Genomic DNA, 26,142 nt, shown 5'->3' on the forward strand with positions numbered 1-26,142 from the left:
TTACTGGCAAAGACACTGCAATGAGAAAGCAGGTGCCCTTAGTCTCACACGGGTCAAAATTAGCTTGTGGCTCATGTCTTAAATATCAGGAATCCTCAAGGATTAGCGACTGCTTTAGCCATCTTGCTACAAAGAATGGCATAAGGAGAATTTGCACAACTGAGAAAGGTAAAAGCGTATGCGCTAATAACATGGACTTCTTAGATAAAGTCTAAATGCACGTAGCGATTTGCTTTGGTACTGAGCCCAAAAGAACTGTGTCAATTCTGCTTACAAAACAGTGTTTTGCTGACACATACTTTTCAAACACCCAAGAGGAAGAAAACCCTTTCCTCATGGAGCATCTGTGCCACCTAGTGGCAACTCGTTCCACAGCCCACAAATAAGGACAGAAGATTAGGCATAAACTCTCCTTTCTCATCCAAAGGACAAGGTGGGGACTTCTCTCATTCCTCTGGTGGTCACTGAGCCAGCTCCACCAGGCCGTCACTGCCTCAGGTCCCCATATAACATTTTTCACTTTATTTTCCATGATGGGCCAAACACCTACAATCCTTACCCTAACATTAGAAACTAAAATGTGAATGCTGTTATCCATAGGTGAAAGTCAAGTTCTGAAACATACTGTAATCCATCATGTAATCATAACACACATTCTCTCCACTGCAAAACGTTGCTGAGGGGCATAAAAAGATGTGAATAAATGAAAAAACATACTTTAAACTTAGCATGGCCCAGCATTTCTAAGCTAATAATAATCTCCCTGATGGGCACCTTACCCCTCTCCTCCTCTTTCCTCCTTTTGCTGCTCATTTCAGACTCCAAAATCTTTTTCCAGCCTAGATCTCTCCCTGTGTTACTGACCCGGATCACTGATCTAGGGTCACTGATTTATGGAGCACCTACTATGTGCCAGGCATTGTAAAAACACGTACACACTGGATGTCTCCCCTAAAAACTCAACATGTCCAAAACAAAAGTAATCTCTCCTGAATCTTTTGGATTCCATTTCCAGTTTTGTAAACAGCATCATCAACTACATAGTGGTCCAAACCAGACACGCCTGTGAGACCTCTGGCTTTCTCCCCACCTTCACATGCAACATATCACCTTCTAATCCTCTACCTCTCAAATCTGCTCCTGTTCTCCAACTCCAAGGGCAGTTATGGTCCTTATGATCCTTATCAGTCAGGATGTGCTAGGTTATGCTGCTGGAACAAACTCAAACCTCAGTAGTTCAAAACAGACTTTGTTCTCACTCATGCTGCACATCCCTCTTGGCAGAGGGAAAAAATGAACCATATGCCCTTTAAAAAAAACTGCGGTAGGCTGGGCACGGTGGCTCACCCTGTAATCCCAGCACTTTGGGAGGCCAAGGCAGGCAGATCACCTGAGGTCAGGAGTTCGAGACCAGACGGACCAACATGGAGAAACCCCGCCTCTACAAAAATACAACATTAGCCGGGCGTGGTGGCACATGCAGGTAATCACAGCTACTCGGGAGGCTGGGGCAGGAGAATTGCTTGAACCTGGGAGGCGGAGGTTATGGTGAGCCAAGATCATACCATTGCACTCCAGCCTGGGCAAGAAGAGCGAAACTCCATCTCAACAAAAACTAAAACAAAACAAAACAAAACAAAACAAAACAAAACAAAACAAAACAAAACACCACTCTGGGAGGCCGAAGCAGGTGGAGGATTACGAGGTCAGGAGATCAAGATCATCCTGGCTAACATGGTGAAACCCCGTCTCTACTAAAAATGCAAAAAATTAGCCGGGCATGGTGGCATGTGCCTGTAGTCCCAGCTATTCAGGAGGCTGAGGCAGGAGAATCGCTTGCACCCGGAAGGTGGAGGTTGCAGTGAGCTGAGATTGCACCACTGCACTCCAGCCTGAGCAACACAGCGACACTCCATCTCAAAAAAAAAAAAAAAAAAAATTGTGGTGAAAACACACAATACAAAAACTACCCAATTAACACATTTTTAAGTGTACAGGGTCTGTTAGCAAAATGTTGTACAGCTGATCTCTAAACAACTTAATCTGGCATGACTGAAACTTCCCACTGCACAGTGACTCCCCACTTTGCCTTCTCCCAGCCTCTGGCACCCAGGGTTCTACTTTGTGTTTCTATGAGTCTGACTACTTTAGATCCTGCATTTAAGTGGAATCGTGCAGTATCTGTCCTTCTATGACTGGCTAATTGCACTGAACACAATGTCCCTCAAGGTGGTTTATCTGTGTTGTTAGTATGTGCCAGGAGTTCCTTCTTTTCAAAGGCTGCATAATATACCAAATTTTAACCATTCATCTGTTGACGAACATGTCAGTAAGTGGTTTCCATCTTGTGGCTACTGTGAATAATGCTGCAATGAACACAGGAACATGCTGAGATCCTTTCCCAAAGGATTTCAATTCCTTTCCACCGGCTGCCTTTTCACTCTGTTGATGGTTTCCTTTGCTGAAAGCATCTTAGTAGTCACTTGCCTGTTTTTTGCTTTTGTCACCTTGTTTTTGGTATTATACCCAGGAAATCATTGCCAAGACTGATGTCATGAAGCTTTCCACCTACGTTTTCTTCTAGTTTTTATAGTTTCAGGTCTTACACTTAAGTCTTTAATCCATTTAAAGAGTTGATTTTTGTGTTATGATATGAGATATGGTATCAGCGTCTAAGTTCATTCTTTTGCATGTGGATATTCAGTTTACAGAGCACCATTAATCAGAGACTACCTTTTCCCCCGGTGGGTGTTCTTTGCACCCTTGTTGAAGATCAGCTGATCATAAATGTGTGGATTTATTTCTGAGCACTGTATTATGTTCCATTGGTCTACATGTCTGCCTGTTTAAATTACTGTAGCTTTGTAATAAGTTTTGAAGTCAGGAAGTGTGAGGCTTCCAGCTTTGTTCTTCTTTCTTAAGACTGTCTAGGATATTTGGGATCCTTTGTGGTTCCATATGCATTTTAGGGATGTCTTTCCATTTATTTATGTCTTCTTTAATTATTTCAGCAGTTTTTTATAGTTTTCAGTGTATAAGTCTTTACCCACTCCTTGGTTAAGTTGTTCCTAAGTATTCCAACTTTTTTGATGTATTATAAATTAGATTTTCTTAATTTCTCTTTTTGGAGTGTTTGTTAGTGTACAGGAACGCAACTGATTTTTATGTGCTAATTTTGTATCCTGCACCTTTACTGAATATATTAATTCTAACAAGTTTTTTTGTGGAAATTGCAGATTTTTCTATGTATAAGATCATGTTATCTGTGAACTTGCACGGATATAGATGCTTTTGCTTTTTCCTGCCAAATAGCTCTAGCTAGGGCTTCCAGTGTTATATAGCATGGAAGTGGTGACAGTGATATCCTTGCCTTGTTCCTGATCTTAGTAAAAAAAAGCTTTTCAGTGTGTGTGTGTGGTTTTTTTTTTTTTTTTTTTTTTTGTGACAGAGTCTCACTCTGTCGCCCAGGCTGGAGTACAGCGGCACAATCTCTGCTCACCGCAACCTCCACCTCCCTGGTTCAAGCGATTCTCTCCTGCCTCAGCCTCCCAAGTAGCTGCGATTACAGGCGCACGCAACCACACCCAGCTAAATTTTTGTATTTTTAGTAGAGACAGAGTTTTGCCATGTTGGCCAGGCTGGTCTCGAACTCCAGAATTCAGGTGATCCACTTGCCTCGGCCTCCCACAGTGCCAGGATGACAGGTGGGAGCCACCATGCCCGGACAGTGTGTTTAGTTCTCATACTTTGTGAATTTTCTTGCTGTTTGTGATTTCTAAGTGTATCGCCTTGTGGCTGGAAAAGATACTTGGTATGATTTTGATCTTAAATTTGTTAAGACCTGTATTATGATCTAATATTCTCCATCCTGGAAAATGTTCCATGCGCAACAGAGGAGAAAAAGTGTTTTCTGTGCCTGTTGGCTAGAATATTTTGTATGTGTCTGTTAGGTCTATAGTGTTGTTCAAGTCAGCTGTTTCCTTACTAATCTTCTGCCTGGTGGTGCTAACAATGATTGAAAGTGAGGTATTGCAATCTCCTACTATTTTTGTGTTATTTTTCCCTTCGGCTGTCAATATTTGCTTCACATATTTGGGTGCACTGATGTCGGGTGCATATACAGATGGTCTCCAACTTACAATGGTTTTACACTTTTTGACTTTACTGTGGTGTGAAAGTGATACACATTCAGTAGAAACTGTAATTCAAGTACCCATACAATCATTCTCTTTTTCACTTTCAGTACAGTACTCAATAAATTACATGAGATACTCATACTTTATTCTAAAATAGGCTTCCTGCAAGAAGATTTTGCTAAATCGTAGGCTAATATAAGTGCTCAGGCTTTTGTTTTCCTTTTTTCAGGAGCTTGCAAGCTCTTGCTTCTTCTGGTGCCTGTCTGAGGTATCACAGGCCCTCTGGAGCTGCTGTAAGCTGCCCAGCTCTTTTTTGGCCTCAGCAGCTCCAAGGCATCTAGAGTAGGTTGGGTTCTGCCAGCAGTGAGTTGGGTGAGACAGAAGCCAGTCCCTCAGGCAGCCCCTTGAGAAGCCCAAATGCTGAACACATGCTCTACTCTTCCCCTGGACCCAAAAAGCAGCCTTCGAGGTGCACTGGACTCTGCCTACTGTACCGTGGGTCCTCTGGCGCAGTACAAACCACCCAGCTTTCTCTTGTTCTCAGCAGCCCCCAGGGACCTAGACCATGCCAGGTCCCATCAGTGCTTCATCGAGTGAGACAGGAACGAGAGTCTTGGGCAGACTCCAGAAAACCTAGAATGCTGGACTCATGCTCCAACTCCTTCCCTCCCGAGAAGAGCAGGGAGAGGGCAATGAGGAGTCAGTACGTGCTAGTTTCACCATCCCATTTGTCCTCAGAGGTCCCCAACCTGGTGCCCTTTCCTGTGAGACAAGACAGAAACCAGTCCCTTGAGCAGCCTCCTGAAAGGTCTGAATATTAGATATATGTTCCAGTCTTCTTTTTCCTCCCCAGAAAGATGCCAGGAGTTGGGAGCTTCCTCCCAATCACATGGTGCTGTGCCAGGGGGAGGAACTCTGGAGAGCCAGCGTCACAAATTCCCCAGCCTTTGATGCAACTGGTTTCTGGATTTCTCACAGAGAGAAATGGTCCTTCCGTTGTTGTTGAACTGTTCTCTCTATGGGAAAAAGAGGGTCTGGAGCTTTCTCTTCTGTCATCTTGACACTACCCCACACCACATGCCTTTACGGCTTTTTCTGCAAGTGATCTAACTACTCACATGTTTCACTGACCACAAGAAGCTACATGGCTACCTTCAAGTTCAGCAGGCCATGTATATTCCTCCCATAGACAAACAAAAACATATGTGGTGTTCCTATTTGGGATCTTAAGAGCCCCTGGGAAGCTCCCACCAACATGCCAAGTTGATACTCACTAGATGCTGTTCCAGACTCATGTGTGCCCTCAGGCTTTTATTTTTTAAATTTTTTTCTTTTAAAGACAGAGTCTTAGTCTGTTGTCCAGGCTAGAGTGCAGTGGCGCAATCATGGCTCAGTGCAGCCTCAATCTCCTGGGCTCAACTGATTGTCCTGCCTCAGTCTCTTAAGTAGCTAGGACTATGGGCACACACCACCATGCCTAGCTGAGTTTTAAAATTTTTTTTGTAGAGATAGGGTCTATGTTGCTCAGGCTGGTCTCGGACTCCTAGTCTCAAGAGATCCTCCTGCCTCAGCCTCTCAAAGTGCTGGGATTACAGGCATGAGCCACTGGGCAACCAATGCAGCTGCTTTTAAATGTCTTCAGGCTGGGGGTGGTGGCTTACACCTGTAATACCAGCACTTTGGAAGGCTGAGGTGGGCGGATCACTGGAGGCCAGGAGTTCAGGACCAGCCTGGCCAACATGGTGAAACCTCATCTCTACTAAAAATATAAAAATCAGTCAGGCGTGGTGGCGCATACCTGTGATCCCAGCTACTTGGGAGGCTGAGGCAGGAGAACTGCTTGAAGCCAGGAGGCGGAGGTTGCAGTGAGCTGAGATCGTGCCACTGCACTCCAGCCTGGGCAACAGAGTGAGACCCTGCCTCAAAACTTAAAAACAAAAACAAAAACAAAAAACGTCCTCAGAGAATAATGGTCTCTCCTCTTCTTTGGCCTTCCCAATTGTACATAAGCACTTTCACTGGCAGACCTTCTTTGAAACCTTACCAGGAAATGTAGTTCCCAGCTCCTTCTAAGCAACTCATGAAGACCCAAGAGGCTGTGCAGTGCTGTACATTTCTCACCTGGACTACTCAATAGGCAAGTAGACTTTCCTTATATTTTATCTCTCCCCACCTCAGGACAGTGTGCTGCATGGGCCTGCCCCTACTCAGCTTATGAGCCTCCTTCACACTCCTAGCACCAGTAAGCGTCCACATTGCTGCCACTCCCGGGGCCTAGAACATTTCTCCATCTCCACTCCACTCCCACCCTTTCCATCCTTTGGCTACTTCCTCCTTATCTGCTGCATCTTAGCGTAGGCATCACCTCCCCAGGCAGTCCAACACCTGACCCACTGGAAGCACACAAGGGACACGCTAGCACTCTGCTTTCTTAAGAGCTGCAAGATGCCAGCGACTGTTGTGACAATTGTTATAGCAACAGCCTGGGGTGCGAACATATAAAATGGCCAGAAATATTAATGCTGAAAACAAAAGAAATAAAGTTTTGATCCATTAGTTTAGTTTATTCTTCCTTTTCTAATCTCTACCTTAATTTCTTTACTCTCCCCAAGGCAAAGATATTGCAGTGTTCAACTCTAATCATGCAATTTTAGAAAAATGGCTTAGAGCGTATTTGTCTAGGTGGATGCTAATATTCACTAAAAACTCTAAGTGGCTTCTAAATAGCTGAAAGATTTTAAGACATTCTTAGTTCACAGGGCGCCAAGTTAAAGGGAACAAAGATCTGCAACAGTAATGCACCTAGACAGCTCTGCTCCCACGTAATATAGTCAGTTCTCATGAGGAGAAACAGTCAAATAAATAACCTACCAGATGTGATGGAGATGCCACTAAGATGCCCAGTTCCTCAATCAAAGAAGCGTCGTTTGGACTTTGAAAATGGCAAAAGGTGTGTGTGTGGGGAGGGAGGGGTAGCAGGGGCTATTTGAGCACAGGTGGTGAAGAGAGCAAGCAAGAAAAATGTTGACACAGTGGAAGAAAAACTAAACACTTCCCACTTTACATTATAGTATCTGTCCTAAAGAAGATGATATAAAATAGGAATCCAGAGCTTTGTAACTGGAGTGGCAAGAGTGGCTGCCATCTCAGTAACCATGTCAACCGTTACTCACAAAGTACTCGTCCTCATTTGCTTATGAAAAGGAAAGCACTCAAATCCTTCTTATACATCAGCAGTCAGGTAAACAGCAGATATTTGGGCCATGAGGGCAGCCCATAATACCATAATTCAATATACATCTAGAAAAAAATGTGCCTCCCTACCTTTCGGCAGTGAGGATTAGGACAGCTGAACCTCTTCACATCACTGTCCAACAGAGCCGGAAAGCTACAGGACGGGCACCTAGAGTCAGAACAGCAGAACTGACATTACTTCAAACATTAAAGCCTGATCTGGTTCCAGCTCCATGTGGCTGTTCATATGAAGATGGAGTTTTGAGCTGGACATTCACATCCCCTTTATACTCCTTAGTTTTCCTTAAAAACACAGATTGAACCTCTTCTTTGTGCTGGCTCTTATCAGGAAACATAAGCACCACATGAGGTCCTGACTGAATATAAACCACTCAATAAACACGTCCCAACCTTAATGAGAACTCCTTGCATATACCGATTTCCCTCCAGCCCAGGGCACCATGATTGTATCTACGGGCCAGAAGATTTGGGGGTGCCAAGATATGTAGACAGAAGTTTGAGCTACAGTCTGGGCGCGGTGGCTCACGCCTGTAGTCCCAGCACTTTGGGAGGCTGAGGTGGGTGGATCATTTGAGGTCAGGAGTTGGAGACCAGCCTGGCCAACATGGCAAAACCTCGTCTCTACTAAAAATAAGCTGGAATGTGGTGGTGCACGCCTGTAATCCAGGCTACTCAGGAGGCTGAGGCATGAGAATTGCTTGAACTCAGGAGGCGGAGGTTGTAGTGAGCCAAGATTGCACCACTGTACTCCAGCCTGGGCGACAGAGCGAGAATCCACCTCAAAAAAAAAAAAAGAAGTTTGAGGGGCAGATTTTTCCATTAATAGAATTACTGGTTACTCAATGGTTCTGAGGCGTAAAAAATAAAAATAAATAAGTAAAATTATTGATAATCTTATTTCTCAGCAAGAAATGTCAAAAAACCTGGAAGATAAACACAATTTTCATCATCTGATGCAAGTGCCCAGGTAGTTTTCACAATGGGGAAGAGTTGGCAGATGGCACGCTCTGCCTGAGAACGAACCTGACAAGCTCGTCGGCGTAGGCTGCCGCAACCTCCTCCTCGGCTTTTCGCTCATAGTACTTATACAGGATGGTCTGGGGGAGCACCTTCTCCAGCTCACTGGTTGGGAACGAACACGTGCAGCTGCCTTCCATGCAGCTGAGCTCCAACTAGAAAAAGGCGAAAAGGCAAAGAAAAAAAAATCAATACCATTTATAGAAAAATAAAAAGCGTCAGTGGTTAAAAACATAGATCCTGAGACAACATAGCAAGGATCTCTCTGCCTGTTCATCTCTGAGAAATCACACTTAAATCATGGAAACCATGAAACAAAAATCCAGTACATCTTTGATATCACTAAAGGACCTCTATTAGCCCAAATCACAATCCACAAAGACTGAAAGTGGCGGAAGGGCAAATGGCTTAGCAGACCACACACAGAAGCCCATAGCTTAGGGTCTGAAAAGGAGATGCTGGGGAGAAGTTGTTCCCCTCTACAGATATTAGAAAGCTGGAGAACCTCTGGAAAGCAGAGCTGAGTGGTGGGGAGGGGCAGGGACTCAAAGTAATAAACTGAAAACAGGGACATGGGTGGAGCCTCTAGTTCCTACCCGCTTCAGAAGGAATTGGCTGACTCTGAGAGAAATGAGGAAGATCTCCTGAACAGCTGGACCACACGGCTCTGGACTGGAAACCACTCATAGAGGAGAGCAGAGCTGAGGGGTGGCCTGAAGTCAGAGTCTGAAATGGAGTCTGCATAATGAACAGAGAACTCTCCAGACCTTTCCTCCCCCTCAGTTTCAGAATGTTGGAAAATGGGCTCACACCCACCAGGCAGGAGGCAGACTGAATCACCCCAGGTAAGAGACTTCAGAGCCATTCAGGTTCATAATATAAAAGCTAACTGGCTCCTATGCACCTAGAGTCAAACTCACTGGTCTATAAGCCCCACTACTCACACAGCTTTCAAACAGCTCTTTAACATGAACAAAAAGTGTCAGACATGAGGAATGCTTCCCACATGAAAGACAAACACCAAAGAAAACAAATGGAAAAAGACGACATTTTAAAAATAACTAGCTAAAATTTATGAGGCATTTACCATGTGTCAAACAATAAGTTCATTAAACTCATCACCTCATTTAGCTTTCAAAACAATGCTATGATTATTTCCATTTTACAGAGGAAGAAACAGTGGCTTAAGGAATTTAAATTGCTCAAGATCACAGGGCTAGTATGGCTGATGGGGGCATGGCCCAATGCATTCTGCTTGACTCCAAAGGTCACGCTCTTTGAAAAAACATAAACTTTATTTATTTATTTTTCTGAGACAGAGTCTCGCCCTGTCACCAAGGCTGGAGTGCAGTGGTGCGATCTCAGCTCACTAAGCCTCCCGAGTAGCTGGATTACAGGCACCCACCACCACACCTGGCTAATTTTTGTATTTTTAGCAGAGATGGGGTTTCACCATGTTGGCCAGGCTAGTCTCGAACTCCTAATCTTGTGATCCACCCAACTTAGCCTCCCAAAGTGCTGGGATTACAGGCATAAGCCACAGCGCCTGGCCTATTTTTCTTTTTTAGAGATGGAGTTTCACTCTTGTTGCCCAGGCTGGAGTGCAATGGCACGATCTCAACTCACCACAACCTCTGCCTCCCAGATTCAACCAATTCTCCTGCCTCAGCCTCCCCAGTAGCTGAGATTATAGGCATGCGCCACCAGGTCTGGCTAATCTTGTATTTTTAGTAGAGATGGGGTTTCTCCATGTTGGTCAGGCTGGTCTTGAACTCCTGACCTCAGGTGATCCGCCTACCTCGGCCTCCCAAAGTGCTGGGATTACAGGCGTGAGCCACCCGGGCAAAAAGTCATCTTCTTAATCACTGTGTTAGTTTTCTATTGCTGCTGGAACAAAATACCACAAACTCGGTGGTGTAAAACAATGTAAAATTCCCATACTGTGTTTGTTATGCTGGTGTCCAGAGAAACTCACTTTGGAGAGAGAAATATGATCTTGTGTAAAGTAAGTTATGTTATTTTAATATATATTTAATCCAATAGGCTGCAAGGTTCTCTCTTTCTGAGGTAACCTTCCCTCTGAATACAAATAAGATGATGAACGAAGGAGGTGCTCCTCTGCGGCTAGGCGTGGGAGTGTGGAAGAATTCTACTGTGCCCTGAAAAGAAATCTGCTGTGCTCAGAGAACCCACATAATCACATACATCAGGTAATGTACACATAAGCATACCAGCAGAACTCCACCTCACCCTCAAAGAGGCACTTACACTTATCTATCAACATGGTCTCCTTAGACTCCAGGAATGTGTCCTATATACATGGGACATATTACACAGTTCTTACCTTTCCAGATCCAAAGACTGCCTCTTGGGCATATCTGATGAGACACTCTTTGCAGAACAAGTGAGCATCTGCGCACTGCGTCAGCTCCTCGAATGGAAATTCCCCATAGCAGCAGCGACACTCAATCAGCTGGCCATCCTGCAGGCAGTCAAGAAACACACATGAAATGTCCTGCACTTAAGGAGAGGGGGAGCCTTGTCTCCCATCCTCATCTCTCTGCCACCCCCCACACAAATTCTGAGGTAAAGCAACCCATTTTAGGGGCCATAAAACAATGATATGCTGTTTCGTGCTATATAAATCTAGCTCAAGATACTAACACAGTATTAATCCATACCTAAAACAGCGAGGTTTTCGTGTTTTTTTTCTGGTATTCTTTAGAGTAATTCTTTATATAAAGTTATCATATTCAATCCCATGGTGCAAAGGGAACTAGAACATCTGTACTCAGATGCTAATGTGATTATAAACAGCAAGGATAAGGAGTATGAGAGATGTTACCCAAAAAACTTTCAAAAGTTGAATTTTGTTCTTGTCATAAGGAGTGTGAATGGGTCTATCGAGGTCTGCGCTTTATTTTAAGGGACTATTGAAGCTATAACTAAAGCAGCAACCTCAAGTAATGTACCAGGCTATTGACTCCTTTTATTAACTATAGCAACGGATCCAATCACCAACTCATTCTTTTTTTTTTTTTTTTTTTTTTTGAGATGGAGTCTCACTCTGTTGCCCGAACTGGAGTGCAGTGGCACGATCTTGGCTCACTGCAACCTCCACCTCCCAGGTTCAAGCGATTCTCCTGCTTCAGCCTCCCGAGTAGTGGGGATTACAGGCACCCGCCACTATGCCCAGCTAATTTTTTGTATTTTTAGTAGAGACGGGGTTTCACCACGTTGACCAGGCTGGTCTCAAACCCCTGACCTCGTGATGTGCCTGCCTTGGCCTTCCGAAGTGCTGGGATTACAGGAGTGAGCCACTGCATCCAGCCCCATTCTTTTATTTATTTATTTTTAATTTTTATTAGAAATGGGGTGCTGCTATGTTGACCAGGTTAGTCTCAAACTCCTGGGCTCAAGCAATCCTCCCATTTTGGCCTCTCAAAGTGCTGGAATTACAGGCACGAGCCACGGTGCCCGGCCACCAACCCATTCTTAATACCACATTAGAAAGGGTCAGTAGCCAGGTGTAGTGGCTCACACCTGTTCCCAGCACTTTGGGAGGTTGAGATGGGTGGATCACCTGAGGTCAGGAGTTCAAGACCAGCCTGGCCAACATGGTGAAACCCCGTCTCTACTAAAAATACAAAAATTAGCTGGGCATTTTTTTTACATACAGAAACCCATCTTGCCCTGAGGTTAGACATACCTCGTTAACTCTAAAGTGATATCTAAGTTGTAAACTTTCCTTTATGAGTGTATCTGATGAATGTCAGGTAATGATTTTTAACAGGAACATCTATTATCTTCCCTTCAATTCTGATTCAGTGTGGTATAAGAGTGACTATACTAGATCACGTATCTGACTATAACTTGGCTGAACTGCAAACTCACCAAACAGGAGGTTATCCAAAAACAAATTTGCCATCAAAAATGCTGACAAAACATGGTAAGAGAAAACAGCCCATGAAAATGCCCAGAATAAACAAGGTGAGATTTCAAACTACCTTTTGATACTGTTCTTCATTCATCTGTAGGGCAAGCAAAAAGTCTTCATGCTGAAGAACAAAAAAGGCACACATTCAGACACAAATTTAGTAAAAATGACACTAACCATTTAGTATTTATTTCCATAAACATAACTCCAGTATTGCGATCTCTTCAATTACACAGTTTAGCAGTTCAAAAAGGTTACCTGTGAATAAATTTTAAGTGGATCAGAGAGCTAGAAAATACAGGACAATATTTCTTAAGTATGACTCAAAATGTAGAATAAATAAGGGAAAAGGCTGACACATAAAACACTTTGAACAGCAAAGAATAGCATCAACAAAAACAAACTGAACAAATAAAAACTAAGTTTGGCCGGGTGGGATGGCTCATGCCTGTAATCCCAGCACTTTGGAAGGCCGAGGTGGGCAGATCACCTGAGATCAGGAGTTCGAGACCAGCCTGACCAACATGGAAAAACCCCATCTCTACTAAAAATACAAAATTAGCTGGGCATGGTGGCGTGCACCTGTAATCCCAGCTACTTGGGAGGCTGAAGCAGGAAGATTACTTGAACCTGGGAGGCAGAGGTTGCAGTGAGCCGAAATCGCACCATTGCACTCTAGCCCGGGCAACAAGAGTGAAACTCCATCTCAAAAAACAAACAAACATACAAAAACTAAGTTTAACAACAGACTTCGCTGGCGAGGCTGTGTGGTAGTGGGCACCCCCACACATTACTGGTGAGAATGCAAAACAAGACAACCACACTGGTGGGGCACTGGCACAGAGTCATCAATGCCACTTCCAAGAGTCTAGCCCAAAGATGCAACTGGGCAGAAACAGGGAATGATGTATGCACAAACTTATCATGGCACTATTTATAATAGCAAAAACCTGGAAACAACCCTAAACATCCATCAATAGGGGAATGACTGAATAAACTGTGGTATTACATAAAATGGTATACCAGCCAGTTTCAAAAAGGAAAGAGAAAAATCCCTATGAATTGCTGCAGAGTGACTGCCAGGATGCATGGTTAAATGAAAAATGCAGTCGCAGAAGAGTCTGCCAACATTTGGGATTACATTAAATTATTTATGAGACAGAGTCTCACTTTGTCGCCCAGGCTGGAGTGCAGTGGTGCAATCTCAGCTCACTGCAGCCTCGACCTCCCAGGCTCAAGAGATCCTCCCACCTCAGCTTCCCGAGTAGCTGGGACTACAGGTGTGAGCTAGTACACATGGTGGCACACACCTGTAATCCCAGCTACTTGGTCTGCTACTATCTGGATAAGAAAGACGGGTAAATAAAAATACGTATACTTATTTGCTTTTCCATAAAATAAGGAAAGGTAAACCAAAGACTAACAATAATGGTTATATATAAACAAAGCAGGGGGCCAGGTGCAGTGGCTCACGCCTATAATCCCAGCACTTTGGGAGGCCAAGGTGGGGGGATTGCTTAAGGTCAGGAGTTTGACACCAGCCTGGTCAACATGGCGAAACCCTGTCTCTACTAAAAATACAAAAATTAGCCAGGCATGGTGGGGCGCACCTGTAATCCCAGCTACTAAGGTGGCTGAGGCAGGAGAAGCCCTTGAACCCAGGAGTCAGACGTTGCAGTGAGCCGAGATCCTGCCACTGCACTCCAGCCTGGGTGACAAAGCGAGACTCCGTCTCAAAAAACAAACAAACAAAATGCGAGAAAGGGACAGCACAAAAGCTAGATATTTCTGAATATTCCTTGTTTTATAGTTTTTATTTCAGAACTAAAATTTTTACAACCTTAGACAAAAAAACAAAACCAATTCTCTAAAAGTTCAAAACAAACAGAAAGAAATAACCCACCCTTTTTTTTTTTTTTGAAACTGAGTCTTGCTTTGTTGCCCAGGCTGGAGTGCAGTGGCATGATTTTGGCTCACTGCAACCAACCTCGACCTCCCATGTTCAAGCAATTCTCGTGCCTCATCCTCCCAAGTAGCTGGGATTACAGGTGTGTGCCACCATGCCCAGCTAATTTATTTTTAGTAGAGACAGAGTTTTGCCATGTTGGTCAGGCTGGTCTGTAACTCCTGATCTCAGGTGATCTGCCCACCTCGGCCTTCCAAAGCATGTAATCATGCTGGGATTACAGGCATGAGCCATCCCACCCGGCCAAACTTAAGTTTTTTTAGTCTTGAACTCCTGGCCTCAAGTGATTGCCTGCCTTGGCCTCCCAAAGTGCTGGGATTACATGCATAAGCCACTGTGCCTGGCCAGAAACGAATAAACTTGTTTATCAAGTTAATGGTATAAGCACCGAGATTTATTTCAAGTGACTTTAAAATATTTTAAATATTGAATAATGTTATTAATATTATTAAGAACCAAGACTTTTAGCATCAGAGAAAAGAAAGTTGGCAGGGCATGGTGGTGCATGCCTGTAACCCCAACAATTTGGGCGGCTGAGTTGGGAGGACGGCTTGAGGCCAGAAGTTCGAGACCAGCCTGGACAGCATGGGGAAACCCAGGCTCTACAAAAAAAGTTAGCCAGGTGTGGTGGTGCACACCTGCAGTCCCAATTACTCAGGAGGTTGAGATGGAAGGACTGCTTGAGCCCAGGAGGTAGGTTGAAGCAGTAAGCCATGATTGCATCACTGCACTCCAGCCTAAGTAACACATGGAGCTCCTCTGTCAAAAAAGAAAAGAAAAAAGCAAAGAAGGTACTTTGGAAAATTGTTGAGTCCAGGTCTGAGAAAGCAGAAGCTGAAACGGGGTCATTTGGCTGTGCCCAAAAGCAAAGATGTTGTCAGAGACTACAGGGGTCGGGTTAAGAGAGACTAACTTGAAGGGGCAGCCAATAGTCAGAGATGGGACAATGTGAATATCACCAAGAATAAAAGACTACAATGAACTACATTCATCAATTTGCCAATACTTTAAATACTTATCTGATAAGATTGGTGATATCAATGAATGTCATTCTATAACAGATGGATCAAAACAATAAATTCTAATTTCTGCTTAAAATCTAGAATTTTGGTCAAAAATAATCACTTCATTCATTTTTGAGAAAATGCCTGCCAAATACCTATTTTGAATAATCATAGTTTTTCTGTCACTTTTTTCCAAGTAAAAAGTGGCCAATGCAGCTGCTTTGTGGCTCAGTTGCATAAGTGCTTTCCTCATACCTGGATATAAGACAAGCTTCATATCCTGGGATGTGGCAGAAGCACTTTATGAAGACTTCATTTTATTACACAGAATATTGAAAAGATGTTTCCAACGGTCAAAACTTGGTAAAGTAATTTTTACTGCTTTATCAAAGACATTTTCAGGTGAAACTGGTGTGTCTTAAAAATGTAAGTGCATGGTGGTGAAGAAAACAATGATTGTGACGATGGCTCTACGACACTGGCCTGATTCATGCCAAGGCACCACTGCTTTTGTTCTGCTGGTACAAACTCAATATGGTGAAAAAGCAAATATAGCTGAGCTTGATCAACAGAGATGTGAACTGTGGGGACCCACTTATGTGCTGATTTTCTTCTGCTTCTGCCACCCTGAGACAGCAAAACCAACACACCCCTCCTCCTCAGCCTACTCAACGTGAAGACCATGAAGATAAAGACCTTCTCATGCTGATCCACACTTCCATTTAATGAATATGAAATATATTTTCCTTCTCATTTTCTTAATAACGTTTTCTCTAGCTTACCTTATTCTAAGAATACAGCATGTAATACACAAAACATACCAAACGTGCTCATCGACTATTATGGGTAAGGCTTCCTGTCAACGGTAGGCTGTTCACAGTGAAGTTTTGGGGCAGTCAAACATTATATGCTGACTTTCAGCTGCACAGGGGGAAGCACTCCTAACTTTCATGTTGTTCAAGGGTCACTGTAATGTCTTAGCATAGTTATAAGAGGTTTGACCTCGCAGACCCCCAAGAGAGTCTTGGGAAACCCAGGGATCTCTGGGTCACACTTTGAGAGCCACTGGTTTAGAAGATACTTATTAAACAACCAATATATACATTCCAGCTGACTTGCACATTTGATACTATATTTAGAAAAATTAAAGAGCGAAATGGAACCGAGGCTGAGGGAGGAGGTAAAATAGATACACTAAGCTCCAATTAAAATTTTCTAACATGAATCTGATTTATGAAACCACAAACATAAGTATTATGACAAAATCCAGGTTTTTTCTTTTAAAAACTTTGCATATATCCAAATTTAACAGTCTGAAGAAAAGGGAAATCTTAAAAGACAGTTTTGTACTAACTAAACCCTAAGAGCAAACCAGAATCCCAGAAACACACCCCAAGACCAGAGCACATCTTCCTACCTCTGCCATCTCTTTGATTTTCTGCTCATAGAACTCCTGCTCTTGTTGCACAGCTGGAAGGAGAGCACGTCGGTCATAGGACCTACAATGTCGTCGCTTATTTTCAAGAAAGAACATCCTCTTTTCTATTTTTATGTCACCTAGAAGATATACGACAATGCAAAAGCATGCAGACAACTATGTGTTAGGAACCTGGGCCAGCCATGTCCATTCTTCCCGGCCTCATCCTCCACCTTCTCTCTGATGGTACGTTTCATGACTTTTCTATCACATTCTACCATTTGGGAAGACTGGGCTTCTTACCATTAGCCAACCTACCATCCATTTTTTGACCTTTCTGATTCTTTCCCTCTGTTTATGCTCCAATTGGAAGGCATCTCCTATCCTGTCACTAGTGTACTATGTGAATATACCACAATTTATTATCTATTTCACTACTGAGGACATTTGGGTTTGCTGTTTTGGGTTAATCTGAATAGCGCTGCTTATAGCCATTTGTTGGTGAATGTATGTCCGCAATTTACCTGCGAATTGCTAGATCATGGGATAGGCTTACTTCCAGCTTCAGAAAATAATGCCAGTTTTCCAAAGTGGTTGTACCAGTTTACACCCTTCCTCCATCAGCAATGCATGTGAGTTCCAGTCTCTCCATGTCCTTACCAACACCTATCATCGGTTTTTAATTTTAGCCATTCTGGTGGGTGCAAATGTGCTGTATGATTTTCAACCATTTTTATTTTCAAAGCATTCAAATATACAAGGGGCTGAAGGAACAGTACCTAGATTCACCACAATATATTATAACATGAGAATAAAAGAGAGCAGAATAACAAATATTAGACACGTAAATGATCTGTTTAGGTTTTGTACTTGTTTCACTGATTTGGCAATTTATGATTTTCTTTTTGGAGACAGAGCCTTGCTCTGCTGCTCACGCTGGAGTGCAGTGGCACATTCACAGATCACTGCAGCCTCAACTCCTGGGCTCAGGCAATCCTCCCGCCTCAGCCTCCTGAGGAGCTGGGACTATACAGGCAGATGCCACCACACCCAGCTAATTTTTTTGTATTTTTTTAGAGATGGGATTTTGCCATGTTGTCCAGGCTGGTCTTGAAGTCCTGGGCTAAATGATCCACCAGCCTTGGCCTCCCAAAGTGCTGGGATTACAGGTGTGAGCCACAACGCCTGGCCAATTTATGTTTTTCTAGAAAACTTTATCTCATTCAGATTTTCAATTTACTCTTGTCTGTTCTTGGTAATCTCTTGATTTTAATATTTACTATCTGGTTCCTAATACATTTTATTTTGATTCTCCTTTTCTCTTGCTCATTCTCATGTTTTTTTTTTTGTTTGTTTGTTTGTTTTGTTTTTTTTTGAGACAGAGTCTCACTCTGTTGCCCAGGCAAGGGTGCAGTGGTGCGATCTCGGCTCACTGTCAGCTCCGCCCCCCGGGGTTCACGCCATTCTCCTGCCTCAGCCTCCCGAGTAGCTGGGACTACAGGCGCCCGCCACCATGCCCGGCTAATTTTTTGTATTTTTAGTAAAGACGGGGTTTCACTGTGTTAGCCAGGATGGTCTTGATCTCCCGACCTCGTGATCCGCCTGCCTCGGCCTCCCAAAGTGCCAGGATTACAGGCATGAGCCACCGCGCCCAGCCTCTCATGTTTTTTTAAATTCAAACCTTTTCTTCAGAAAACCAGTTTTTGGGGCCAGGCGCAGTGACTCACGCCTGTAATCCCAGCACTTTGGGAGGCCAAGGAGGGCACATCATCTAAGGTTAGGAGTTCGAGACCAACCTGTCCAACATGGTGAAACCCCCCAGGCATGATGGCGCACACCTGTAATTAATTCCAGCTACTTGCGAGGCTGAGGCAGGAGAATCGCTTGAGCTTGGGAAGTGGACTCCGTCTTAAAATTAAAAAAAACAACAGCAACAAAAAAAATCAGTTTTTGGTATTATGAGAATAGAAAAGCACGTGGTTAGACAGTAAGCTTTGAAGCCAGATTCCCAGCTGGGCTACTCGCTAGCTGTGTAACATCTGCCAAGTTACTTAACCTCTCTGTGCTTCACTTTTTTTCTATAAAATGATAATAATGGCACATACATCTCATAAGGCTATTTGAAACATAAATGAATTAATCCATTAAAGCACTTAGAAAAGTGACTGGTACATATTAAGTGCTCAATGTTAATTACTGTAATTATCAATGCTACAAATTAAAAAAATTTTCACCTATTATTTCTTTCGTCTTTACTCAGTTCTTTTTGTAGTTTATCATGTTAAAGTAATAAGATTTATTTTCAGTCCTTTATTTTAAAAAATAAATGCAATTGGCCGGGTGCGGTGGCTCAAGCCTGTAATCTCGCACTTTGGGAGGCCGAGGCGGGCGGATCACGAGGTCAGGAGATCGAGACCATCCTGGCTAACATGGTGAAACCCCGTCTCTACTAAAAACACAAAAAATTAGCCGGACTCGGTGGCGGGCACCTGTAGTCCCAGCTACTCGGGAGGCTGAGGTAGGAGAATGGCGTGAACCCAGGAGGCGGAGTTTGCAGTGAGCCGAGATTGCGCCACTGCACTCCAGCCTGGGCGACAGAGCAAGACTCCGTCTCAAAAAAAAAAAATAAATAAATAAATGCAATTAAGTCTACAAACTTCCCTCTAATGTATTTTCCTGCATGACCATAAAAAGGACAGAGGAGGGAGAACCGTGTCTCACTCTTTGAGTCAAGCAATTATAGCCCAAAGAGCAGTGTTTAGACGGAAAACAAACTGAAAAGGAGAAAAATGGGATCCCTGGAACAGATGAGGGATTCTTAGCCTGTGTCCTTATAAAAAGCTGTCAAAAAAGGCTAAGTGTGAGTCATAAACATTAAACTACTAATGTAAATCAAGTGTAATTTCTATCTTATACTTCCAGGGTCCTTCAAGATTATCTGATAAGTAAAATTAAAGAATCAGCACCTAAATTAAAGTGCTATACCTAAAACAAGAAACTGAATCAAATGAAATGAAGTTAATGGGAAAATGTGAGATGCAGCAAAACTGAGACAGGTTTATGACCTGACAGCAATGTGGGTGAAAAGAGCAAGGCTGAATGTGAGCAGACCTCATGTGGAGTATGATGTGCAGTCTTCTATACCCCAACTTTCAAAGAGACCCTGACAAGCTAGAGAAGGGCACACAGGGAAGAGGAGAAGGGCAGTCAGGCTGATGAAGGGACAACAGTCAGAATCTCTCTCCACAGCCAAGAACTACAACCATGGCAGGACATTTCAGGAAGTACATGCTGACAAATATAAAGGAAGAACTGTCTAAAAGACAGAGCTGACCAACAAGGAAGTCAACTATCTTGCAAAATAGCACTTTCTCCACCACTGAAGTCAGAAACAAATACTGTATGGCTATGTACAAGGATGCCTGTTCTGAACTCTGGCTAAATTTGGCTGAATGAAAAACCACCTGCACACTGTCCCTAGTTCTACATTCTGCCACAGGCCAGGGCGAATGTCATGTCAGCAGAGCCACTGCTCCACAGACTGGCTTAGGAACCTCAGGAGTCACAGCCTAAGGGATTTTCTTTTAGAGCCTGAAAAGTTCATAGTAAATACAAATACTTTCCAGCTTTATAGTTACCTGAGTTTCCACTTAGTCATACCTGAAATCAAGTGTGGTAATTAAGTACACATGTAACAGAAAGGGATGATCTCTAGAAAAGTTGTAGTAAACGCCTTTACTGGGTGGAAGCAACTCAGATAAAATCTGAGTTGTTATAACACTCAAGTTTACATTTTTGGGGATCAGACCTAAATAACCTCTTCAAAAGGGTTTTCAGCAGTTATTTCATCAATAAGAATGACAGAATTTTGGAGAAACGTGGCTATTAGCCATTCTCTCAGTTGCATAAGTGACCCTCTGCAGTAAGCCCTCATTCATAAGTCTGGGTAGTTTTTACCTAATAACACAGCCAATTCGCATCAAACCTTTGAGACCAGTTTTTCCCCCCAAGCTTAACAGCACACTCAAATACCTTCTCACACATGAATTTTCTAACACCACACAAAATTTTCCTCTCACAGTTTATCTTAAGTAGGAAGAAGGAAGCCAACAAGTGCAGCCACTTCCTAAAAATTTTGATGTGCTGAGAAAATAGTTCCTGTCAGTCACTCCTTGGACTGGCCTGTCCAGATGCTCAGCAGACACCTGTAGCACGGCTTCCTTCACTGACTGTGAAGAAGAAAAGGTACAGTGTTGCAGCTACACACTGCCACCAACACAGTTTGCATTACCTTGTTCAAACTTGAAATCAATGTAAGAATACTGGTTCATTTGTTTTCTCTTCTTCCTTTTTCCACTGGTTTCTGGTGACAGCTCCTGCCATTTTTTAATGGCATCAGACAAGGCCTAAAAATTGAGAAAAGGAAAGGTTCCTTCTGTAAATAGAAAATAAGAATACACGAGACAGGCAATCCCTGAATGCCATTTTAACACAGTTTCAGCTGTCTACCCAGCATGGCTAACAATTGGTAGTGGCAGCTGGGTGCGGTGGCTGACGCCTGTAATCCCAACACTTTGGGAGGCCAAGTGGGCAGATCCCTTGAGGTCAGGAGTTCGACACCAGTCTGGCCAACATGGTGAAACCCTGTCTGTACTAAAAATACAAAAATTAGCCGGGCATGGTGGCGCACGCCTGTAATCCCAGCTACTCAGGAGGCTGCGGCAGGAGAATCGCTTGAACCCAGGAGGCGGAGGTCGCAGTGAGCCGAGACTGCACCACTGCACTGCACCACTGCACTCCAGCCTGGGCAAAAAAAAAAAAAAAAAAGGAATAGGCAGTGGTAAAATAAATAGGCAGCATTTCTTTATTTTCATTTTCTCTGACTTTCATAAACTGGTACGGTGGTGGAAGCAAAACACTTACTGACAGATTAAAGAGTAACTAGGGAAAAGAAAAACTGTTGGCTGGGTGCAGTGGCTCACACCTGTAATCCTAGCACTGTGGGAGGATGACGGGGGTGGATCACTTGAGCTTAGGTGTTCAAGGCTTGCCCGGGCAACATGGGGACACCCCGTCTCTACTAAAAATACAAAAAAATAGCTGGGCGTGGTGGTCCACAGCTGTGGTCCCAGGTACTCGGAGGCTAAGATAGGACAATCACTTGAGCCTGAGAGGCAGGGTTGCAGTGAGCCATGATTGCGCCACTGCACTCCATCCTGGGTAACACAGGAGACCCTGTCTCAAACAAAACAAAACTGTCCAAGCTGTCCTTGAATAAGTACAGGTAAAATCACATGACAATGGGCTGGTGAGTCCCATTCTGTAGGCAAATCTTCCATGTTGTTTCTCTGGTCAATGCTCCTCTTTACTCTCCCCTAACCTGCTTCCCCCACACTCTTCTCTGTGTGCACCTATATCCACCCCACCCTGTAACAGGATGCTGGAGTTCAAAATCCTTCCACTGGTGAGGATCCCTTTTCTTTCCTACCTTCAGCTTCTCTCTGTTAGATTTCCCTTATCAGGATTTAAATGTGTTCAAATCAGGGTGGGCGCGGTGGCTCACGCCTGTAATCCCAGCACTTTGGGAGGCCGAGGCAGGTGGATCACCTGAGGTCAGGTGTTCAAGACCAGCCTGGACAACATGGCAAAACCCCGTCTCTAGTAAAAATACAAAAAATTAGCTGGACGTGGTAGCAAGCGCCTGTAATCCCAGCTACTTGGGGGGCTAAGGCATGAGAATCAGTGAACCTGGAAAGCGGAGGTTGCAGTGAGCTGAGATCGCGCCACTGCACTCCAGCCTAGGCGACAGAGCGTGACTCTGTCTTAAAAAAAAAAAAAAAAAGTGCTCAAGTCTTTGCCATCCTAAAAACAGGAGGGAGAAGGGGTACCTGATTTGAAACGGAAGGAAGGGTGTGTGAGGTAAGGCCATTCCGCCTGCAAGAGAAGAAGGAAGAGTGGGAGCCTTTCAGGAAGACTGGGTGGGACTCCTGACTGTGGCAGGGGATAGGAGGCCTTGGGGCTCATGTCCTGTGGCTACGCTGTTAGGGTGCAGGGCAGGCTGGGGTCCCAGTCTGGGCAGCAATGAGAAGCGGGGTGGCTATGATGCAGTGTTTGCCTGAAACTCCTGCTGAAACTTAATCCCCAGTGTGGCGGTGTTGAGAAGGTGATCTCATCTCTCTTTCAATGCCAGCCCCTCTTTCTTCTTCCCCTCTTTGTAGAGAAACTTATCAAAGGAGCTGTTTATCTGCTGTTTCACCACCTCACCCTTATGACCACAAGCTTTCCAGCTGTCTCTAATTTGGCATCTATCCTGCCTTTGCACTTACTAATCTATGCTTATTATTGAGTGGCCAAGTCTATAAGTCTACCATCTACATTTTAGTCCTCATCTTGCACAAACTCTTAGCAGCATTTAATAACATAGGCTGGGCATGGTGGCAACCCAGTGCTTTAGGAGGTGGAGGTGGGAGGATAGCCTGAGGCCAGGAGTTCAAGACCAGCCTGCACAATCTAGCAAGACCCCATTTCTACAAAAAATGAAATAAAAAGATCATCCAGGTGTGGTGGCGTGCACCTGTAGTCCTAGCTACATGGGAGGCTGAGGCAGGAGGATGGCTTGAGCCCAGGTCAAGGTTGCAATAAGCCACGATTGGGCCACTGTACTCCAGCCTGGGTGAGAGAGAGAGACCCTGTTTCTAAACAAGAATAACCATGATGATGATGATAATAATACAGACTGCTCCAGTCTCTCAACTTCCTCCTTCCTGTCTGCCTGCCTCCTCCGCTTGGTCTTTGCATGTCAGGAGTCCTCTCTTCTCACCTGGTATCTCTGGGTACCTCATCCTGGCTGGTGAGATTTTCCATATGCTGATGACTCTCAAAGTCCTATCACCATAAAACCCAAGGAGATTAAAAAAAAAAATCCTATCTACAGTCTGTATTTTCCAAACTTTCTAGTCCATTCAACCTCCCAATGAATTATTTTTACTCAGATGTCTCACAGGCCCTTCTCAGCACATTGGCAACCAACGTTTCCCAGACTGAATTCGTGATTATTTCTCTCCAAAGCAGATGTTTATACTAGTTCTCACCCCAATAAATGATACTAACATCTTCCACGACCCCTTTCACCAAACTCCTATGTGGGTCTGTGATTAAATGTCCCTTCCTCAGGGTGGCCCTTCTGGAGACCCTTGGTCTACCTTAGGTTGCCTCCCGTTTTACCCTTTCAAAGCCCCTCTATTTTTCTTTCAGTCTTTTTTTTTGGCCAGGCACGGTGGCTCATGTAGGTAATCCCAGCACTGTGGGAGGCTGAGGTGGGCAGATCATCTGAGGTCAGGAGTTGCTGACCAGCTTGGCCGAAATGGTGAAACCCCATCTTTACTAAAAATACCAACCAGGCGCGGTGGTGAGCACCTACAGTCCCAGCTACTCAGGAGGCTGAGACAGAAGAATTGCTTGAACTGGGGAGGCAGAGGCTGCAGTGAGCCGAGATTAGGCCACTGCACTCCAGCCTGGGCAACAGAGTGAGACTCCGTCTCAAAAAAAAAAAGAAAAAGAAAAAGAAAAAGAAAAGGTGGAAGGGGCTTGGCCTAGACCTTAGCATGAGCCACAGTCCTTGGCTTGGTTCTTCCCTTCCTACAGGTAAGACCCAATGAGTATTTTAACCACTACGATAACTCCACGTTTGTCCTTTGGACAAAAGAAACATCACTGTGTTTGCTGAGAATCACAAGAATTTCAGTAGAATACAATTTAACGGCAGTAAGAGCGACCAAGAGGAGTAAGCCAAGGTCTCTGCTGGTGCGTGCGCTCCTGTTCTGGCCACAGCTACAAAGCAGGCACTGTGTGCTGTCCTTCATGGAAGACGCCTGTGTTACCCACCACAAACCAGCACCCTCCTCACCCTCAACCAAGGCCTTTAAGTGCCATCTATTTTAGGATCCTGCGGGGAGAACGCTGGGAGCTGTCAGTAGCTGCCCACTCTCTTCTGAGGGGGCACTGCTGTGTTCCCGGACTCTCTACAGACCTTACGTCCTATCACTGGTAACTGAGCCACCTGGGGGATGGATGGTCGTGTGACCTGTCCCAAGTTGGAAAGCAAATCAGGAAGGAGCAGCATTAGAATGCATCTTTCACACTCCTGCATTCCACAGTAGAAGGTATTACACTCCATGTTTTTACGGTCAAAGCAGAACTTCTCTGCTTCTCATCTATCTATTATTTCTTTTCATTTAGTCCGTCACGATGAGCAAATACCCATCTATTTATCTTCACCCTAATAAATTCCTTAGCAATCATAAACCATCCCAATTTCCACAAGCTGAACTGTTCATTCTGTTACCATGGGAAGATGTAGTCAAGAGGTGTGACCCCAACAGGAAGACCAAGTAGAGTACCTTTCGGGTGATTGCATAGTGTCCTTTGAGCTCGTGCAGGGCCCACTTGATGTCCTGACTACTGAGCACTTTGAAGTCGGCCATGAGGAGGTCAGCAGCTTGGATGAAGCAGCGCTGGTCAAGAGGGGTCAATTTAGAATAGTCAAAAAAGTCTATTTTAGGCAACTGAAATGAGAGAGAAGCATAAAATCAGAGGCCAGGCAGTACATTTCCCATACAGGGGAAATCATTTTAAGAATTACATGTGTAGAAAAGAATAACATTTGTTCTAATTACTCTATAAGGAAGTTACCAGCCCTATAAGACAGATGAGAAAACGGTGGCTCAGAGAGGTTAAACAAACCTGTCTGGAGCCGACAGACTAGTTTTACTACTAAAGAAGTATAGTTGGGGATTTAAACCAATCTTACAGCCATCTTCTTTCCATACCATATTTACGAACAACTATTTTTTTTCTATTACAGAATACGTAAGAGAGACAGTCAAAGAATCTATGGGGAGTTGGAAGATCAAGCAACAGATCTTAATAAAGTTAGTTCTCAACCATACTTGACCATATAACACACTAAATGCCAGTTTAGATCACAAATAATGACAATGATTGAAGTTTTTAAAAACCAAACTGTTTACATCTTGATATGAGATCTGGTTAAACAGATGTATAGTATACGCTGTATACAAATCTCACATCAAAAGAAAAAAGATATTCCACTCTGGGTAATGACCTGCATGCTGAAGTACTTAGAGGGAAGTGTACTCATGTTTTTGCAATTTACTTTGAAATGCATTATCATGAAATGAAACATAACAAAGTTGTGCTGATGGACAGACAGAGGACATATGTATGATAAAGAGGATACAGTAAACTGTTAACTAGTACCAGTGGTAGGTATATAAATGATCAACGTAAAATATTTCAATTTTTCTGTAGGTTTGAAAATTTTCATAATAAAATGTTAAGAGTTTTGGCCAATTCTTGTTTTGCTTTAGGAATTTGCTTTGTAGGATTAA

The 26,142-nt window shown here is 43.8% G+C and overlaps 1 protein-coding gene and 1 non-coding gene across 11 annotated transcripts in view, besides 1 other annotated feature; both read right to left on the reverse strand.

Annotated features, from left to right (window-relative positions):
- The window catches only part of RNF216 (ring finger protein 216), a 161,617-nt gene that overhangs the window by 84,254 nt on the left and 51,221 nt on the right, over window positions 1-26,142 (reverse strand). For all 10 annotated transcript variants that reach the window (NM_207116.3, NM_207111.4, NM_001377156.1 and 7 more), the window contains 7 exons: window positions 25,132-25,296; window positions 21,024-21,138; window positions 16,733-16,872; window positions 12,416-12,466; window positions 10,753-10,890; window positions 8,415-8,563; window positions 7,461-7,539 (listed from right to left, as the gene is read on the reverse strand). In NM_207116.3, coding sequence (NP_996999.1) covers window positions 7,461-7,539; window positions 8,415-8,563; window positions 10,753-10,890; window positions 12,416-12,466; window positions 16,733-16,872; window positions 21,024-21,138; window positions 25,132-25,296 — 837 coding nt within the window. The remainder of the gene's footprint in view (window positions 1-7,460; window positions 7,540-8,414; window positions 8,564-10,752; window positions 10,891-12,415; window positions 12,467-16,732; window positions 16,873-21,023; window positions 21,139-25,131; window positions 25,297-26,142) is intronic.
- Window positions 4,337-4,406: an enhancer, noted in NCBI's record as "active region_25611". NCBI's record gives its function as "activates an Ori minimal core promoter by ATAC-STARR-seq in GM12878 lymphoblastoid cells {active_cell/tissue: GM12878}" and the evidence as "EXISTENCE:reporter gene assay evidence [ECO:0000049][PMID:35858748]".
- Window positions 7,540-7,610, reverse strand: MIR6874 (microRNA 6874). Its single transcript, NR_106934.1, has one exon. It is a non-coding gene; the product is annotated as a microRNA 6874 (primary transcript).

The sequence above is a fragment of the Homo sapiens genome, chromosome 7 (assembly GCF_000001405.40).
Source record: "Homo sapiens chromosome 7, GRCh38.p14 Primary Assembly".
In the NCBI taxonomy this organism is placed as follows: Eukaryota; Metazoa; Chordata; class Mammalia; order Primates; family Hominidae; genus Homo; species Homo sapiens.